The 21,274-nt window shown below is 38.8% G+C and overlaps 2 protein-coding genes across 2 annotated transcripts in view; both read right to left on the bottom strand.

The window, feature by feature from the left end:
• Positions 1-21,274, bottom strand: part of MSANTD3-TMEFF1 (MSANTD3-TMEFF1 readthrough) — a 135,731-nt gene that overhangs the window by 1,216 nt on the left and 113,241 nt on the right. Inside the window, exons 8-9 of the mRNA NM_001198812.1 lie at positions 14,901-15,024; positions 3,745-3,903 (exon numbers count right to left, since the gene is read on the bottom strand). Of these exons, the coding sequence (NP_001185741.1) occupies positions 3,745-3,903; positions 14,901-15,024 (283 nt within the window). The remainder of the gene's footprint in view (positions 1-3,744; positions 3,904-14,900; positions 15,025-21,274) is intronic.
• The window catches only part of TMEFF1 (transmembrane protein with EGF like and two follistatin like domains 1), a 104,488-nt gene that overhangs the window by 1,216 nt on the left and 81,998 nt on the right, over positions 1-21,274 (bottom strand). The window contains exons 8-9 of the mRNA NM_003692.5: positions 14,901-15,024; positions 3,745-3,903 (exon numbers count right to left, since the gene is read on the bottom strand). Of these exons, the coding sequence (NP_003683.2) occupies positions 3,745-3,903; positions 14,901-15,024 (283 nt within the window). The remainder of the gene's footprint in view (positions 1-3,744; positions 3,904-14,900; positions 15,025-21,274) is intronic.

Raw genomic sequence — 21,274 nt, 5'->3', positions numbered from 1 at the left:
TAAAGCCACATTGCAAGCAATTACATGAAAGGGAAATGAGATGGTATCTGTTGCAAGACAAGATGAAGATGAACACAATTCAGACTGCTACCTCCTCTACAAACCTGGAAGTTGAGAGGATTAGATATGTAATATAGGTACTGGCACAAGCAAAACTCATTACCAGTGTCTATGCTACTATGTATGCATCCCTGACAGATATCCCACCCTTCCTCCAGCCTAGAAACTCCCTAGTCACAGTGACTGATAACATGAAACCCCTGACAGGAGAAAGGACTCTGGCCTATGTACTTTCCCTGTGCATTATGAGAAGACAGCTCTAAAATGACAAGAAGAGCTTAGATGAAGGGAGAAATCAGGAAGAAGTGTGCTTATTAACCTCAGCTATGAATACATAGGAATGTCTACTGATTTTAGACAATGACTCAAAAGAAGCTGTCCACACCCTCCTGGGGCAAACCACAGAAGCCCATAAGGAACTGCCACACTGAGGATAAGGGACATTCTTTAACTCTGCTCTCATTTTACCACGTTTCTCAACAGCAGTACAAATCTCACTGGGTTGGAACTGCTCTTGTGCCTGCACACTAGATTGCAAACACAAGATGCTGTGCTATGCAATGTGGAGTAAGGGGGCTAAGACGAATTCTGGGCTCTGCTAATAACTAACTGTGCAACCTCAATTCTCCTATATGTAAAAAATAAATTAGGAGTTGGACTAGCTTCCAAAATCTCTGCCAGCAAGAAATTTACAACCTAATGGAAAGAAAGTCTTATAACAATGAGTACTCCTCATTTCGTTCGATTTCAAAGAGTACAGCTTTGCCTTGACTAAAAGTGTTGACAATACTTCCATTTTGTATATGGTTTTACCTCACTAATCCTCATTTTAAAAGTGTGAGGTAGACAGAGTTGGAATCATCTCCATTTCATAAATGAGAAAACTAGCTGACAGATCAAGCAACCCTCTTGTACTGTCACTAACTCACCATGACCTTGGAAAAATTCCAATTTCCTAGTGCCATGGTTTTTAAATCCATAAAATCAGGGCGTTTAGTTAAGGTGATGTTCAAGGTTCCTGACAATCTGTCATTCTATGAGTCTGAAAATATGAAAGGCGATTCCAAGAAGAAGAAAAAAAGAAAAATTGACTCATGCAGTCTTGATAAACAGGTCAGTGGGAACATCCTTTTAAAGAAGATTCCTCCCATGTGACAGCCGCCACGGTATATGTCAACAGCTGTCTCATAATGGACTGTGTGGGAGAGATACTTAAAAACTCAATGGAAATAAATCCAAGTACATAAATGTTCTAAATCCAAGATAGCAAGACATTCTAGGGGAGGAAATACCATAATAAAAAGACAGGCCTCCAGGAGAAATCTGTGATAAATTCAATGAGATGACTCTTCAATCGTAGAGACAGTGGGCAGTAAAGACACTGTGACATAGTTAGAAATACACTGTGATGTCTAAGTGGCTGTGAGGGCAACAAGGAGGGATCTGGAGTATAAACTAGAGGGTACCTACTTCAAAACTGCCTGCCAGGTAATTTTAATTGAGTAGTTGAGCATTATAGCACTGAAAGAGTTGGGTAAAAGACTGTTGTAAGGGGGCTTTCCTAGCTCTAGGACCTTAGACCAAGGTACTTCTTATCTCAGGGCTTCAGTTTCCCAACTTCTCTAAATGAAGGGGTTGAACTCAGAATTGTTTCTCATTGACTCTGACATCCTTTGATCCTCTTAAAAATGGCACTATCTGGCTGGGCACAATCCCAGCACTTTGCGAGACCGAGGCAGGTGGATCACTTGAGCCTAGGAGTTGAAGACCAGCCTCGGCAACATGGCCAAACCCAGTCTCTACAAAAAAAAAAATACAAAAATTAGCAAGGCATGGTGGCGCATGCCTGTAGTCTCAGCTACTCGGGAGGTTGAGATAAGCCCAGGAGGTGGAGGTTGCAATGATCCAAGATCATGCCACTGCACTCCAGCCTGAATGACAGAGTGAGACCCTGTCTCAAATAAAGGCACTATCTCCAGGCCTCAAACATCTCCCCTTACTTTACCTTAATTTTCCTTCTGCCTTCCAAATCATTCATTACCTCACTCCTATTTAACTCTAATAATGACTTAAATGGTCTTCCCCCTACCTCATATGTTCACTACTCCAATGAATTTTTCAGATGACTCATTAATACTCTGAAAAATATGGTTTATACCAAGTCCTTCCCCTGCTCAAAAACCCTAAACTGCTACAAAATCAAGTTTGAACCCTGCTCCCATGCAATGGTCATACTGGGCAAACATGTTTCCCAAGATGACTCAACATGGAACCTTTCAGTGTAAAGAATGAATGGGAATCAAACTGAATCCAAATCCAGACAATTCCACTTACTAGTCGGATGACCACAGACAAATTACTTAACCTCTGAGTCTATATTAAATGGCTACAGCCAGTCATGCTGTTAAATGTGTTTTCCCTATCTTCTCTTTCTGTTATCATTATTTGTTACATGATTATGTCCCTACTTTGATCTACCGTCCAATTTTATATTCAGTAGTCTTGCCTAAGGGCAGATCATCTGTTCTGTGAAATAAAGCGCACTGACTTTCATGCCTAGGTGTTATGAAAAATATCTGTTACTTGGAGAACCTTTTCTTTTTTATCATTTCTAGATTTATCATCTCAGCTCCAGATGGCTGAGACTACTGAAGGTCTGGCTTCTATCCAGACCTTGGATAGAAGGGCCACAAATCCATTATGGCCTGCCAATATCTGTATTTGATATGCTTCAACCCTCTGCCCAGAATAATGCAGGGAAGTGGAGAAATGATGCTTATGAGACTTCTGAACTGAAGCTTAAAGAAAGAGGTAAGCAGGAAGAAAAGCATTAGACTGGGAAGCACAAAGACAACACGAACTTGCTGGATTTACTCTGACTTTTCTCAGGCCCAGTTCAGTCTGACTTATGTATTTCTACTCAGTTTAGAAAAGACCCATTTTATGCCACTGCACTCCAAATAAGTCATTTAATTTATGACGAATAATTTTATTTATAATACAGAATTTTAAAGCTTATTACTTATCGCTGCAATCCTGAAAATGAAGTAATGTTAACACCATGATATCACAATAAAACTATCTTCAGCCTCTGATTTCTTCCTTTCTTACTATACTAACTGTGAGTAAAGTACGTTCTTAGGGCACAGAACCCCTTGCAGTTGTGCAGGGCTTAAAAATCTTCTGCATGGATCTCCTATGCATGTGCAGATCATTCTAGAAATTCTGAGCCAGTCAGGGTGGTTCACGCCTATAGTCTCAGCTACTCTGGAGGACCACTTGAGCCCAGGAATTTGAGGCTGCAATGAGCTCTAATTGCTACTGCACTCCAGCCTGGGCAACAGAGTGAGGCCCTGTCTCTTAAAAAAAAAAAAAAAAGATTGCTACTAACATTATTTTCCCAGAATACAGTGTTCAAAGACTGTATACAGTTCTCAGATCCCTAAATTCCTTTATCTCATTGACTATTCTCATTCCCTCTCTGCTTGTCGCCCAGATATACCTGTAAGACTGGGAATTAGTCCCTGCCCGTATCCTAAAGAAGAAGGATAGGGAGAGACCACTGAAAACCTCAGGGAACTGATCATAAGATTTTTCCTAATAGACTGGTGGCCTCAAAGCATCTATAAATAAACAGTTGCCTGCCTCTAATTTAAAGTTGATATTTCTTACATCATTACCTACCTTGTTATGCACATTACAATTGCTACTATGATGGCAATCTGTACAGCTCCAATAATTGCTGCAATAAGAACATGAGTGAGCTTTTGCCTACTTGGCACTACATAGAGAATACTAAAGTCTGTCTTTTCACAGTGCTGTCCAGTGTAGCCAGATTCACATCTGAAAAGGAAAAATATATATATTCCTATGAAAATTACAAATTTTGATACTCCCAAGCTTTTACATTAAAAAATACAAAATAGTAATAAAATTTAAACAGGAATAGGATATCATGCACTTTCCTACCATCTGGGGGAAAAATGTCATTTGTATGTTTCCCTACTGTCTTTCTGATATGCCTACATGGTGCGTCTTTCACCTAAGTTATATCACATTAATTTTAAAGTTGCTGAATATTGTTAATGTATATCTTTTTTTGTTATTGTTGCTTTTGCTTTTGGTGTCATATCTAAGAAATTATTGCCTAATCTAAAGCCACAAAGATTTACTCCTTTTTTTCACTTTTTAAATTAAATTTGCTTAAAAATTGACAAATAAAATTACGTATATTTATCATGTACAACAGGGATCCCCCCCAACTCCCGGGCCATGGACAGATATTGGTCCATGGCCTGTTAGGAACCAGGCCACACAGCAGGAGGTGAGTGGTGGGCAAGTAAGCAAAGCTTCTTTGTATTTACAGCTACTCCCCATCACTCACATTACCACCCAAGCTCCGCCTCCTGTCAGATCAGCACTGGCATTAGATTCTCATAGGAGCGCAAACCCTATTGTGAGCTGCGCACACAAGGGATCTAGGTTGAGTGCTCCTTATGTGAATCTAATGCCTAAGGATCTGTCACCGTCCCCCATCACCCCCAGATGGGACTGTCTAATTGCAGGAAAAACAAGCTCAGAGCTCCCACCAATTCTACATTATGGTGAGTTGTATAATTATTTCATTAAGTATTACCATGTAATAATAATAGAAATAAAGTGCACAATAAATGTAATGCACTTGAATCATCCCCAAACCATCACCCCCACCCCCAATCCCCAGTCCATGGAAAAACTGTCTTGTACGGAACTAGTCCCTGGCAACAAAAAGGTTGGGGACCACTGATGTACAACATGATATTTGGAAATGTATAGACATTGTGGAATGGCTAAATCAAGCTAATTAACATATGCATTACCTCATATAGTTATCATGTCTGTGGTGAGAACACTTAAAATCTACTCTCTTAGCATTTTTTTCAAAATAGATACATATAATTTCAAAACAGAAATATAATACTCCATCCAGTGACTATAATATAGCTAGCATTATCTATTCCCAGTTCTAAGACATGTCAGTTATTTTCAATTTTTCACAATTATAAATTAGATGTGGTAAACATCTTGGTGAATATGCGCTTTTCTATATTTAGTGTTATTCCTTAGGGCTAAGTACCTGAAAATTAAGACTATTGAAAAAATAGGTATAAACATTTACAGTCCTCTGAACATAGCACCAAATTATATTCAAGACACTTTTCAGTGTATAAAATATAAACATGTAAGATGCAAGGGGAAGATGAAAATAAGTTATTAATAACAGAAACAATGTCAAGCAGTCAAGGAGGTAAGCTGTAGGTGCTAATCTTGGAAATTATCTGAATTCCAATTAAAAGTAGATAAAAAGACAACTGCATCAGCTGATGATAATTTGACAGGGAGAAATATTTAAGACACTTAACAGACAATTTACATTTTTAAGCTGACAGCAGTGAAATGTATAAATTAGCCAGCCTTCAGTGAGAACTGATTAATAAAACATTTGAAGTATAAAAACAGTATTTATGAATGTCCCACAACTCATTAAGAAAAGAATTTGAGGCAGCTTATCGCAAAGCACACATTAAAACAACAAAAAAGAAATGTGGGAGGAGGGAAACAGGGAAATCCAGGGGTGCTGCAAGTCTACCAATCCAGTCCCTGAGGTTCCTAGACACTTCCCAGTACATTTCACATTGGGCTCTACGCTTTCCAGCAAACAAAAAAAAACAAGCAGTGGGCAGGTATGTGGATCATGGAAGAGAATGGAGAGCCTAGAAATAAACCCATACATCTATGGTCAATTGGTTTTGACAAGGGTGCTAAGATAACTCAATGGGGAAAGAACTGTTTCTTCAACAAATGGTGCTAACTGGATATCCACACACAAAAGGATGAAGCTAGACCTCTTCCTCGTGTCATACACAAAAATTGCCTCAAAATGGATCGCAGATCTAAACGTAAGAGCTAAAACTATAAAACTCTGAAGAAAAAAAACATAAGATACAGTTATTATGGAAAACCGTATGGAAGTTCCTCAAAAAATTAAAAATAAAACTACCATATGATCCAGCAATCTCATTACTGGGTATATAACTATAGGAAATAAAATCAGTATATTGAAGAAATATCTGCACTACCACGTTTATTGCAGCATTATTCACAATAGCTAAGATATGGATTTAATCTAAGTGTCCATTAACAAATAAATGGATAAAATAATGAGGTATATATACAAAATGGAATACTATTCAGCCATAAAAAAGAAGGAAATCCTATCATTTGCATGGATGAACCTCCAGAACATTATATTAAGTGAAATAAGCCAAGCATAGAAAGACATATACTGAGTGATCCCACTCATATGTGGAACCTAAAAAAGTTGATCTCATAGAAGTAGAGAGTAGAATAGTGGTTACCAGGGACTGGTGTGGTAGGAGGTGCTTTGAGGACATGTTGGTCAGGGGATACTAAATTTCAGTTAGATGGGAGGAATAGGTTCAAGAAATGTAGTGTACAACATGGTGACTATAGTTAACAATGCAGTGTATTCTTGGAAAATGCTGAGGATTTTAAGTGTTCTCACCACAAAAGTGGTAACAATGTGAGGTAATGCATATGTTAATCAGCTTGATTGGACATTTCACAATGTATATATATTTCCAAATATGATGTACATAATATGTATACATAATTTTGTCAATTTTTAAATAAATTTAATTTTTAGAAGAGAATAAAACATAGGAGTAAATCTTTGTGACCTTAGATTAGGCAACAGTTTCTTAGATATGACACCAAAAATCAAAAGCAACAACAACAACAAAAAAGATAAATAGCACTAAATCAAAATTAAAATCTTTTGTACTTAAGGACATTATCAAGAAAGTGAAAAGACAAGCCACAAAATGGAAAAAAAAAGTAAGTTCCATATATCTGATAAGGGACTTATATCTAGAATATATAAATAACTAATACAACTCAATAATAGCCAAAAAATAAAAGAGCAAAGGATGTGTACTGACATTTCTCCAGAGAAGATATACAAATAGCCAATAAGCACATGAAAAGATGCTCAACATCATTAGCCATCATGGAAATAAAAATCAAAGCCACCGTATATGCCAGTTTTTACAGTTACTACGATAGCCTAAATCAAAAAGTCAGATAATTACAAGTGTTGTCAAAGGTACTGTAGGGTGTGTAAAATGGTGCAGCCACTTTGGAAAACGGTCTGGCAGCTCCTCAAAATGTTAAACACAGGGTTACCATTTGGCCCAGCAATTCTACCACTAAGCTTTACCCAAGTGAAATTAAAACACGTTCACACAAAAACTTGCAAATGATCATTCAGAGCAGCATTTTTCATAATAACCATAAAGTGGAAAGAACCTAAATTTTCATCAACTGATGATGAGTAGATTAAAAACATGTGGTGTCATCCATACAATGGAATAGTATTCAGCCACAAAAAGGAATGAAGTACTGATATGTGTTATGACATGGATGAACCTGGAAAATATTACGCTAAGTTAAAAAAAGCTAGACACAGGAGACCCCATACTATATAGTTCAATTTACATGAACTATCCAGAATAGGTAAGTCTATAGAGATAGAAAATAAATTAGCGGATGCCTAGAGCTAGAGAGCATGAGGGGATTTGGGAGTAAAAGCTAAAGGGTATGAGGTGTCCTCTTGAGGAGATGAAAATGTACTAAAATTGATTGTGGTGATGGTTGCACAACTCTGTGCATATATTAAACACCAATGGAGAAGGAAGGAAGGAAGAGAGGGAGGGAAGGAAGGAGGGAGGGAGGACAGTTGACACAAAATACAATCTCCATAAAATAAAATCAAACAAGTCATTCAAAAGAAGCACAGTTATTACTGTTATGAAACTTAAGGGAACTTAATCTCATTGGTCCTCATTTAAAGAGGGCACCTTCTAACATAAAGAACATTATCCTCAACAACACAGCTGCAGTAAATTCAATGATATAATGAAGTCTCATGGGATTTTTTAAATAATGTCCTTCATGGTAGGCTAATGGCCAATAGTCAAAGCTCAGTAATATAAAAACAGTTCCATAAGGAGCTGTAACAATGTCCTAGATATGCAGCTCTCTAATGGTTTGGCTTAAGCCAAAGATTAAAATCAGAGTATCAAAAAGAACCAATAGGCCATATATCATCCCTGCAGTTCTCCCTGGATATCATTTTCTCCAACTGACTTTTGGTTATACTATCTGATATGGTTTGGCTGTGCCCTACCCCAATCCCATCTTGAATAGTAACTCCCACAACTCCCATGTGTCGTGGGAGGAACCCAGTGGGAGGTGATTGAATTATGGGGGCAGGTCTTTCCTGCACTGTTCTTGTGACAGTAAATGAGTCTCACGAGATCTGATGGTTTTAAAAACTGGAGTTTTGCTGCACAGGCCCTCTCTTTACTGGCTGCCATCCAGGTAAGATGTGACTTGCTCCTCTTTGCCTTCCCCCATGATTGTGAGGCCTCCCCAGCCACGTGGAACTGTAAGTCCAATTAAACCCTTTATTTTGTAAATTGCCCAGTCTTGGGTATGTCTTTATTAGCAGTGAAAACAGACTAATACACTCTCCTAATACCTAGAGTACTAACTTCTAGGTTATTACTTCTTCTTCTGTTACTGATTAAAGGCAGATCCAGGGATTCAGTCCTCCACTTTCTATTTTCATCCCAAAACACCTTCCACAGGCAATCCCATTCACTCCCACTGTCTCACGTGTGAATTCATTCACACATCCATTTACCACAATTATTGAGCACCTACTGTGGTGAGCATTTGGGATGTATCAGTGAACAGAACAGATAAAGATCCCTGGCCTGCTTACCAGCTACCGGGAGAAGAGTGTCAATAAACAAAGTAAGTGAATTAAATGGTTATGTTAGAAGGTGATATGCACTACAGGGGATGTGGGGTGTGAGGTGTTAAGGGAAACTGCGAACACCAGGTATGAGCCAGGAAAGTTGCAGGAAGGGAGGGTTGCAATTTTAAATAAGGCAATCCGGGTAGGTTAAGAAGGTAACACGTGAGTAAAGACTTGAAGGAGGTGAGGAGCCTGCCATGCAAACAATTGGAGGACAGCATACCAGGCAAAGGAAGAGCCAGTGCAAGTCCCCTAAAGTGGGAGCATCCATGCATGCATGGCATGCCCAAGAACAGCAAGTGTGGCTGCAGAAGAGGGGGTGAGGGAGAGGAGAGCCAGACAGAGAGGTGAAGAGACAAAACTGTAGGGCCTTCTGCACTTAGTGAGATGAAGGAACCACTGGAAGGATTTTAGCAGAGGAATGATACGAACTGACTTTTATTTTAAAAGGTTCACTCTGCACTGTGGGAGGCCAAGGCAGGTGGATCACCTGAGGTCAGGAATTCGAGACCAGCCTGCGCAACATGATGAAACTGTCTACAAAAAAATGCAAAAATCAGCCTGGCCAACGTGCTGAAACCCTATCTCTACTAAAAATACAAAAAATAGCCAGGTGTGGTGGTGCACGCCTGTAATCCCAGCTATTCAGGAGGCTGAGGCATGAGAATCATTTGAACCCAGGAGGTGGAGGCTGCAGTGACCTGAAATCACACCACTGCACTCCAGCCTGGGCAACAGAGTGAGACCCTGTCTCAAAAAAAAGAAAAAAGAAAAAAGAAAAAAGGCGGGGGCACTCACTGTCTGCTGTTTTGATTATGGACTGTAGAATACAATCACGGAAGCTACTGCAAAAATCCCAGGAAAACATTGGCCTGCACTAGGAACAGCACTGGCAATGGTGAGAAGTAACCAAATTCTGGAGATATTCTGAAACAGAATTCCCAGCTGATTGGATACGAAAGAGAAGTCAGAGATACATCAGAGGGTGTTTTGTCTGAGCAACTGAAAAGATGGAGTTGGAATCAACTGAGATGAAGAAGGTGGCAGGTAAAGCAGGTTTAGGGAGGGAGAGCAGATCAGGAGATCAGCTTTGGTCCTGTTGAGATTGAGGTGTCAGACGTCCATGTGGAAATGTAAAGGAGGCATATGGATCTACGAGTTTCAAATTCAGTAGAGAAGTCTGGGATTTATGTAAATTAGGAGTTATTAGCATATGTCATGGGAAGTCCTGAGACTGGACAGAATCTGTAAGAGAAGAGGACTGGGACTGAACCCGGGTACACTACTACATTGAGAGGTCAAGGAGCAAAGTGGGAAGCAGCCAAGAAAACTGGAACATCCAGCGAAGTAGGAAAAAAACAAGAGACAGTATAATTCTTGACACCAAGTGAAGAATGCATATCACACAGGAGGGGGTGAACAAGTGTGTCAAATGCACTGATCATTCAAAAGTAATTTGAGACTAAGTACTGACCACTGAATTTAGAAATGAGAACAGTCTCAGTGGAGTGTTAGGGACAAAAGTTTGTTGGGGTGAGTTCAAGAGAAATGGGAAGTGAGGAACTGGAGATAGACTTTAGACAACTCTTTTGAGTTCTATGAAGGAAAGGAAACAAACAGGACAGTAACTGGTGGGAATGAGAATGAGGAGTTTTTTTCCAAGATGGAATAAATAAAAGTTTATCAATATATATGAGATATACTGATATCAAGTTCTATGATACAGAGAAACAGGGAGAGGCTTGCTGGTAGGTGATAGTGAAAGTGTGCAAGTTCTCATATTGCTTCCATTTTCTCAGTGAACTTGGAAAGAAGATCAACAGGCAAGAGTGAGGATGAGAGAGGAGGTACTGCTAATCTGAGGAGAGAGGAGAAGGTACAAAGAAATCATACAGGAGAGGAGGAGAATGTATAAACTGCAGGTGTAGAATGACTGCCAGGGCAGCATAAAGGGCCCACCTTGAGACCGATCGGTATGTCAGTGAGACGAGTTAACCGGTGGTGTGCTTTTCACCGACAGCCATGATCAACTGCATGTATAGGTATGCAGTGGGTGGAGAGCTGGGAGGAACCAGGACTACAGTTTTGGCAAGTGAGTATGATGAAGCAATAGAGGAATGTGGGATTCAAATGCAAAGGGAACTACAATGACTGGCCATGGAATTTACACTAACGAGGGGAAGAGAATATCCAGGGAGGGACACGGAAAAGGTGATAGGATCAATAAATGGGAGGGCTAGTGGGATAGAAGAATTGCTAGGTAGAAAGTAAAATGGATATGCTAGAGAGGGAATGATTCTCAAATGTATGTCTTCAATCACATCTCTCTCATCAGTTCCAAAACTAAAATATATCCAGCAGCCCACTAGACATCTGTAAGCGGATATCCCACAGGCATCTTAGACCAAGCACGTCAAACTGAATATATCATTCCCCCTCAAACCTTCTCCCTCTTCCCAATGCATTTCCCACTCAATCCTGTGTTAGCCAGAAAGCCAGGAGACTCTCCTGACTCTTAATCCCACTAACCTCCACCAATCCCCAGGTTCTCGTGCTCATATCCAACCTAACAGGTCGGTCACCAACATCTGTGAGTTCAACCACCTAATGATCTCTCTGCAATCCATTTATTTTCTCAGCCTCACAACTCCTTTATACTTAATTCAGGCCCTTACTTCTTACTAAGTCTCCTAAATTTTCTAATCTACTTTCCACAATGTCACCAGAGTGGCTTTCAGATTTGATCTCATCATTGCTACTTAAAATCCTCTAATCGTCTCTCACTGCCTTTAAAATAAAAGCCAAGCTCCTGGGATGGCCCAAATGTTCCTGTAAGACCTGACCCTTCCTCCAACAATGTCCCCCACCCATCTTCAGGCTGATGTGCCTTTTCTGAAGTCCCAAATCGCCTCATGTATAGCTGTGTATGATAGCATTTTCCATATTATAATTACTTATTTGTCGGTCTCTTTCACCAGGTTGTATGCTTTTTAAAGGCAAGATCCCTGGATCTCTGTCATAGTTGAATTTGACACCCCAATATCAGGGAGAATTTGGCATTAATAAGTCAATCAACCAATCAATCAATCAAAAAATAAATCAGGCCAGGTGCGGTGGCTCATGCCTGTAATCCCAGCACTTTGGGAGGCTGAGGCAGGTGGATCACCTGAGGTCAGGAGTTCGAGACTAGCCTGGCCAACATGGCAAAACCCTGTCTCTACTAAAAATAGAAAAATTAGCCAGGCATGGTGGCACACACCTGTAATCCCAGCTACTTGGGAGGCTGAGGCAAGAGAATCGCTTGAACCTGGGAGGTGGAGGTTGCAGTGAGCCGAGATTGCTCCACTGCACTCCAGTCTGGGTGACAGATCAAGACTTCATCTCAAAACAAAAACAAAACGAAAAATCAGTGGTACCATAATGCTAGAAGATTTTAACCTAACAATAGGACTGTGGCTAAAGGCTGTTTATCCTTGCCTGTTTACTGCTATGCAAACACACCTACCTACTAGCAGAAGTGCACATGATATCATGGCCTGATTCCTATAGACACTGCACAGACTCAGACAAAAGAAAAAGATCAACTGCTTTTAAGGAGTTATAATTGTGCAGAAAAGGGATTCTTTAGCATTTAAGATATTCCTCTTAAAAATTTATCATCATCACAGGTCATTCAAAAAATATTTACTGAGTACCTACTGGGCTAGGTCCTATACTAGGCACAGGGAAAATAGTGGTTAACAAAACAAAGAGCCCCTGACTAACGGGCTTAGAGTATAATGATATCAATTGCTATTCATTAAGTACATACTACATACCAGGTATCAGGCTAAGCACTTTACATATATTATCTCACTTAATTTTAACAACATGAGATAGGTACTATTACTATTCTACTTTCAGAAAGATGAAAATGAGGCTTAGATATTTTACGTAACTTCCAAAGAACACACAGCTAATAATTGGCCAGGTCAGTGTATCCAATTTCAAAGCCTTTAACCTGTACACGATTCAATCCTCTTACTTTCAGTTAGTAAAATACTAGAAAATGACCTTGTATCACATCATTACCAGAACATGATCCTCTCTCTCGTCCTTCATTTAAGTATCTTGAAAGACGCACCATCCTAAGAGGACAAGATCCAAACTTCTATCAAGCTATCCATGCCACTGTAGGACAAACATGAAGAGCCCACTATAAGATTTAGTTTAAAAATTGGCCTGGGCCAGGAGCAATGGCTCACACCTGTAATCCTAGCACTTTGGGAGTCTGAGGCACGCAGATTTAATGAGCTAAGGAGTTCAAGACCAGCCTGGGCAACACAGCAAAACCCTGTCTCTACCAAAAATGCAAAAAATTAGGCTGGGCATGGTGGCTCACACCTGCAATCCCAGCACTTTGGGAGGCCAAGGCGGGCGGATCATGAGGTCAAGAGATCAAGACCATCCTGGCCAACATAGTGAAACCCCATCTCTACTAAAAATACAAAAATTAGCTGGGCATGGTGGCGTATGCCTGTAGTGCTAGCTACTCAGGAGGCCAAGGCAGAAGAATCACTTGAACCCAGGAGGCGGAGGTTGCAGTGAGCCGAGATCGCACCACTGCACTCCAGCCTGGTGACAGAGCGAGACTCCATCTCAAAAAAACAAAAAATTAGCCAAGCATGGTGGCACATGCCTGCAGTCCCAGCTACTCAGGAGGCTGAGGCAGGAGAATCGCTTGAACCTGGGAAGCCGAGGTTGCAGTGAGCCAAGATCGCACCACTGCACTCCAGTCTGGGCGACAGAGCAAGACTCTATCTCAAAACAAAACAAAACAAAACAAAACAAAACAAAACAAAACAAACAAAAAAAAAAACCTGGCCTGTTACCATTCGTACAGCTAGATTTTTTAAATGTTCACAAAAAAAAGAAGAGAAGGCTAGCTCCTTCAAAGACAAGGAGAACTTTCAATCAGGAAAAAGCAAATGTCTTAAAGAACTATTCAACCATTAACAGTTTACAGTGTTTTGTTTTGTTTCTTGTTTTTTTAAGCAGGAGAAAGGCAGGTGAAAAAAATCAGGAGCAGGGAGCTAAAGAAGTAGAAGGACCCAAGAGACTGGATTTCCAATTGCTTCCTCTTATTTTTTTGGAAAGAAAGATTCACTGGCTTCTAGGTGGACCAAACAAAAGAAAAGTATAGTATTTCTCCATGTTTCGATGTTTTGACTAAGAAAGGAAAAAAAGGATCTGGTCAAACTCCAGGAGGCAAGGGTGAGCAAAATGACAGCAATGTCCCCTTGTCTATAGAAACATCACCTGGCTAACTAGACCAACATCAAGCAGATGATGAGCTTCTAGCAGCAGCAGCAAAAAGGTGTATCCGCAGACAGGCAAGAGCAGCAAAAAACACTAAGATCATCAGGTAGGGTATCGGAAAGTCTGAGACTTAGTTTTTTCCCAGCTCTATTTCTAACTTGCTGTTGACCTTGAACAAGTTACATAACCTCTCTGGAATCAGGGATTTGAGGATTTACGCCCTTTCCATTTTCATCTCTCAATTCACACCTGGTTCTTCGTCCCCATCCCCTTATTTTTAGAAATCTATTTTAGCACATATTTTATTTGAGTTACATGTTCTCTGTTCTTAATACAGTCTTTAGTCCCTCAGCCACCTTGTGACAGATTGCCTAAAAACCAAAATAGTGTTGGAATGTGGCACATTTATTTTTTGTATTAAAAATGTATAGTATTATATTTAAAATGTTAAGCCCTAAAAAAAAAAAAGATTTTTGTTTTCTGCATATTACTTGCCAGTTTTTTTTTCCAAATGATGCTGCTGATTTGTTTTTTACTTGTCTACTGCAAATAAACACTACTTTCTGGTAATATTTAGTCTACATTTCATTCCCTTCTATAGAGCAACAACCATTGATGAAAAAAAATGCTCACCACTGATCTGGAAGCGCTGACTTACCTACAAGAAGCCTTCTGAGTAGAATAGATGAATTCACATTTTCCATGGATGCAGTAACCATTGAGGTTTTCAGGGCAAGGCATGTGGTTTCCAATATAAACATCTTCTCTTTGATCACTAGCATCTTAAAAGAACATAAACCAGATCGTTCAACAATGAAACGCAAGCTGAAAAATAAGGACTTTTCAAATGTTCTGAAACAGCAAATGAATTCACCCACTGTCAACCACCTACTGGCAATTTGAAAAGAAAATTTATCAGATAGGGGGTTAGATAAGATCCAGGGTCTCTTCTAATTCCTATTATGCCATAAACACAGCAGGTAAACTGTTTAGATTCAAAGCATTTAAAAATATTTGCAGAATGTGACTGCTAGGAGTTACTGTTGTTTAAAAACAATCTGGCAAAGAAAACTAAACACCTTTGCTAAAGAAATAAATGCTCTAAAAGAAAGTTCACCTCTGTGACAGACAGATGGTGTACATAGAATTGGCTTTTGGGGAATGAACTTAATCATTTATTTGAGGGCTATGAAATTGAGGCCAAAGAACACTGAATGACAGAGAGCAAATTAAGGGACTCTGAAATTTTAGGGTTAAAGGTTTATTTTTGGAATGAAAATTATCAAGCACATTGATTTTTTTCCCAAGTGAAAATAGCTTTGCTGCTCTTTTCATATAGTTTTTCTTAGTATATGGTCATTATTTTAAAAATTCAAGTAATACAGAGGTTAAAAAAGAAATTCAAAATAACCTGAGATTTCGCTCTCCAAAAATAAAACACTGTCAACATGTTGATGAACATCTGCTCAGACTTAAGTATAATGATTTGAACTGAACTGAAGTGAAGAAAATGAAGAGAGTCAGGAAGGAGAGATGGAACAGGTCAGGAAAGATGAAAACATAGGAACTTGGTCTTCAAAATCAGATTCATTCACTCATTCATTCTCTGTATATACATCACACACTCACATATGCACACACACATACACAAATAAATTTGGGAATGGATTTTTGTACTTTTTTTGGTATATGCACCAATACATTAATCCTAAGCTCAAAGGACCCAGAATTCCGCAATATTTACAGGCCTGTCCATGTGCAGGAAAAATCCCCAGGCTTCCTGCCATTTCTATCTTACACAGTTCTAGCTAACAGACTCTGTGCACTACAGCCGTACCTGCAGTATACTACCCTCTTAAACCTGAGACTTCATAACTATAAATTCAGAATAATAGGACCTATACTTCATGCAGTTTTGAGAGGACTAAAGGAGATAACAAATGCATGTACAATACCACCAAAACAACCAGCTATTTATATAGCACATCATGTAACATCACAGGGCCTATCTCCCCAAAATACAAATAAAAGGTATTAATAAAATTTTTTAATGTTAATGGAAACAAATTAAAAAGGAATGAAATAGTGAGTTATATGTATGTGTATGGAGAAGATCAAGAGGAAGATCAAGGGAGAAGTGAGAATAGAGGTGCCAAGTGTAAAAAAACCCTGAGAACCAAAAACGCGGATTTTCTGAGGATCAAAATTTACATATAGACAGAAAAAAACCTTAATGATTATTAAGGTCAGTGACAGTGGAACTAAAGCAGAGAGAAATCAGACCAAAATGATATTATTTTTCCTCAAAGTGTATATATTTACATTGTGCTAATTTAATTTATGCCTAGAAAGAGAATAGACCTAAAAGTCAGGGAACCTAACATATAAATTCTCAATTTAAAAAATGTCTTTACTGCTTTGTGACCTCGTTCAAATCACTTCTTCTCTCTGAGGGAACTGAATGAGACCAGCACTACCCAACATAGGTATAGTACAAGACACATATGTAATTTTATATTTTCTAGTAGCCCAGATTTTAAAAAGTAAATAGAAACAAGTAAATTAATTTTAATCATATATTTTAATCCAATATAGCCAATAAATATCATTTTCACATACTACCAATATTAAAAATTGAGATATTTTTACTTTTTAAAATAAGTCTCCAAATTCTGATATTTTACACCCACAAAAGATCTAAATTCTGACTAGCCACATTTCAAGTGCTCAATAGCCACACGAGCCTAGTAGCTATCATAATGGAAAGTGCAAAACAGATCACTAATTTATCATCTACTGATCACCTTGTATATGCTGGGTACTCTGTTAGGTGCTGGGAATACAAAAATGAAAACATATTCTGTCATCAAAGGGCTTATAAGGTCTCTTCCAGCTCCCATACTATAATTCTGCCATTGCAAAAGAAATCAAGCTCTCTTTTGGGCTGCTATGATCCTGAGCACTTACTCCTCTATTATAACACTCACAATACTGCCTGTTTTATTGCTATTTGGGTTTTTTAAGTCAGCCTCTACCATAAGACTGTGAGCTCCTTAATAATCTAGCTGCTTGTGTTATTCGTTTCTGTATAACTCCTAACATTTAGAATGTAGTACATATAATGGCTAAGCACACAGCTCTAGGGCCAGACTGCCTAGGTTTGAATCCTGGTTACAACACTCTCTAGCTGTGTGACCCAAAGGCAGTTACTTAACTATTTCTGGCCCTCAGGTTTTTAATCTGAGAAATGAAGATGACAGTGATGTCTACTTCTTGTAGGGTTGTTTTGAGGCCTAAATGAGATAATATATTTAGTGTATTAAGTATGTAAGTGTGTACAGAACTTAGAAAAATGCCTGGCAAACAATAAGTACTTAATAAATAAGTATTACCAAGTATTGTTCCGTGCTCAACAAATGTTTGTTAAATGAATAAATTCTAATTTTCTCCTGGTAAAGGGAGAAAAAACAGTTATAAATTGTATCTTTGTTGTTTTCCATTGACAAAATTATTATCCAATAAAGGTTTCCATCTTGAATTCCTTAGTGAACTGGGCTGTCTGCAGTAGTCCTATCCTGTGTTTCCTAACAGAGGTCAAAACTTAATTATCACATCTTTTATTTATTAATACTTGTGATCCAAGCAGAAGACTTTCCTGAAGTAATTTAGCTTTGATGAGAAATAGTTTATCAGAAGCCAAATAACTGAGATCAAATATACTTTTCTTGCTACAGTTTCAAACTAAAAATGCCACTCTACATTCCCAATCAGGCCATAAGTGAATTGAGGAAAGTGGTCATCTCCCATAGCATTTCTCAGAACATGGTCATGAAAGGGTATAACAATGGGACTATAGAGAATAACGTTATGCACCAACCTATGATAATAAAGTCCTATAAGGATAGAGTCCTAGTAATAGGACGGTGCAGGTCTGTAGAGGCTGTGGTAATGTACTAATCTACCATAAGAAGTTCTTTAAACAGCAAGGAATTTCAAGAATAATGCAGAGCTGAAAGCTATAAGAGAACTCAGCTAGGTGAAAGCAGTCAGAGGAAGTTAACCAAATTAAAAACAAGGTTTTGAGAAATTAATAAGAAAAGTATGGCACCAATAAACATATACTGAATGAATTAATGAAAGAATGTGGTATCAAGCTGTAGGCAAAGTGAGGCTATATAAAACATGAACATGTCTAATAAGGCTTTGAATCCTGTGACAACGTCCGAATTCACAGAGTCTAATATTCCGCTCAATGCCAACTTTATTCATCCCATTAAACGTACATACTATTTCTGGACATAGCTACATGCTCAGCTAAGCTACAGAGGATATTAAAAAAAAAAAAAAAGCATGCATGGTCCTTGCCCTCAAGAAGCTTATAGTCAATTTAGAAAATCAGCATATACACATGAAAAGCTGAATAACACAAGGGGAAGGGGTCCCATGTGGCAGTTTACAATTAAACGGCAAAAGATGGTTTTATAACACTAGGTGCTATGGAAGTTCAAATTGAAAGGAGAATTCACTGTAGGCTAAAGGATTTATTGATAGGGTAGGACTTAAGTTAAGACTCAGAGCATAAATAGATTTAGACAGAGGAATGGTGGAAGGCAAAGGGAAGGTATAATGCACATGGCATTCTCAAGAATAAACAGTAGCAACCCAGGTAGAGTGATACATTCAGACTGGCGAAGGGTATATGTCAAAGTTGGAAAAGTAGGCTAAAACTAGATTATGGAAAAATTTGAATTCTAGGTGAGACATGTTTTCTTCATCGTATGGACAAGGAAGACACTAAAGGCCTTTTGAAGAGCAGCACAGGGAAAGCCGGGTTTTACATGAAAATTAGTTGAGAGTAGTTGCCTAGAGCTGGTGGTTAAGCGAATGGGGAGTGACTGACTAATAATGGGTGTGGAGGTTCTTTTAGGGGTGTAGAAAATGTTCTAAAATTAGATTATGATTAACACTTTTACAACTCTGTAAACATACTAAAAACCACTGAATTGCACACTTTAAACAGATGAACTTAATGGCATGTAAATGGAATCTCAATAAAGATATTAAAATAATTAATTGGATACCAGCATACAAGATAATGGGGCAGGGGAACTAGGAAGACCATATATATATATCAGGTGACCAATTAAAAGGTTAGTACATAATCCATTAACTGGGAATGGGGTGCACACCTGTAAGCCGAGCTACTCAGGAGGCTGAGGCACAAGAATCACTTGAACCCAGGAGGTGGAAGGTTGCAGTGAGCTGAGATCGCACCACTGCACTCCAGCCTAGGTGACAGAGCGAGACTGTGTCTCAAAAAAATAAGAAGGTTAGTACATAATCCAAACTTGTGGCAACAAGAAGCTAAGCTAAATCTCAGCAATAGGAGTAGATACTAGACACACAGAAAAAATAAAAATGGTTTGAAGATGTTTTGGAAAGTGAATGAGCTCAGAAACTCAGATCTGGAAGGGTCCTTGGAGGCCATCTGGTTTGATAAAGGAATCTCTTTAGTTTTATAACTCTCAGAGCCTATGTCTACTTGAACACTTCCAGAACTCATAATACAGTTTATTCTAATACCATCAGATTTTCTTTATGTTGAATGAAACCTCGCTTCAACTTGGTGTAGACTTCCCCACATCTGTTTACCCTCTCCCCTCTATTAACCAATCCTTTATTTTTAAGCTCAGATTTCCCCAGTCCCACCCCTACTCAAACAATTTACAACTATCTTGAAGAGTGGTACCCAGCACTAACCCCGCACATTTAAGAGTTTAGTAGAACCAAACTGTCCTCTTTATTGAAGATGCTTGTAATACAGAATTATGTAAAAATGACTCCAAATGTGAGCCTAATGATGGGGGTTCCGAAGAGAAAATGTAGTAAGCTGAGATCAAGTTTAGATCTCCAGTCATTCAAAAAGTATTTTTTAAGCATCTATTACGTTCCAGGCACTATGGTAGTTCCAGAAGTTTGAAGCAATGGCAAAACAAACAAGTAAGTACAAGGACCCACCAGGCAACTGAATATGTGAAACCAGTGCTTGAAAAAAGATCCAGGCTCGAGAACAAGTGTTAAGGTTCACCAAAGTAATAGCTCAGAGGGGATTAAATATCTGAAGGTAATTAAGAAAGCAAGGAAGCAGAAAAGAATTCTAGAATCATGGTACAAAGGGAAGGAGCAGCACTTAGGGTCAGAAAGGCTGAATTCCAGTCGCTGTTCTGCCATTCTATATGGGCAAAACTCCTGCAGCTTCAGTTTCTTCATCTGCAAAATGAGGGTAAACTTGGTTGTTATGAGGACTAAATAACATAAATATGTGAAAGCACCTGGCACATAGTAGGGCACTCAATTAATAACTATTAAATGAAAGAATATCCTACTGATGTCACTTATGAACCATAATATTAAATAACAAGACAGATAACTATCTCACCAATGGTGAGACTGTTGAGCACAGCCAGGTTACTCAACATGAAACTAGGAAACAAAAGTATTAAAAATAACCATAATAACACTGATAATGAACTCAGTAACATAGTGTTTAATATTCATAGTGATCTTAGGTAGTAGATATTACTGTCCCTAATTACAGATGTGATCAGTGAGGCTCACAGAAATCAACACGCACAGCTATTAGATATAGACCAAGTCTGACTCCAGAGAGCAAGCTCTTAGCCATTACAGTATTATTTCTCCAAGCTATCCTAGGAGATGTGTAGGAAACAGATAAAAAGCAGAATGGCCAAGCACCTGCTCTCCAGGCCAAGTAAATTAGCCAACTTCAAAAAGGAAAGATAAAAAGCCTCAAAAGATGTAACATAACATGGTTTCGGAAACAACAGCAGAGATGTCACCTGCACACAGTAAGAACTGAGCACAGAATGATCCTGCCTAAACAAGCCCTTAGCTAAGTGGTGACAGGCTCCAAGAACAACAACTGCAACTGCTAGTCTGTTGCAACTGCAACAATGTGTGTGCGTGTGTGTGTGTGTGTGTGTGTGTGTGTGTGTCTGTGTGTACAATATA

The sequence above is a fragment of the Homo sapiens genome, chromosome 9 (assembly GCF_000001405.40).
Source record: "Homo sapiens chromosome 9, GRCh38.p14 Primary Assembly".
Classification (NCBI taxonomy): Eukaryota; Metazoa; Chordata; class Mammalia; order Primates; family Hominidae; genus Homo; species Homo sapiens.
Note: the sequence above shows the minus strand (reverse complement) of the source record. Positions and strands in the feature narration are given on the sequence as shown.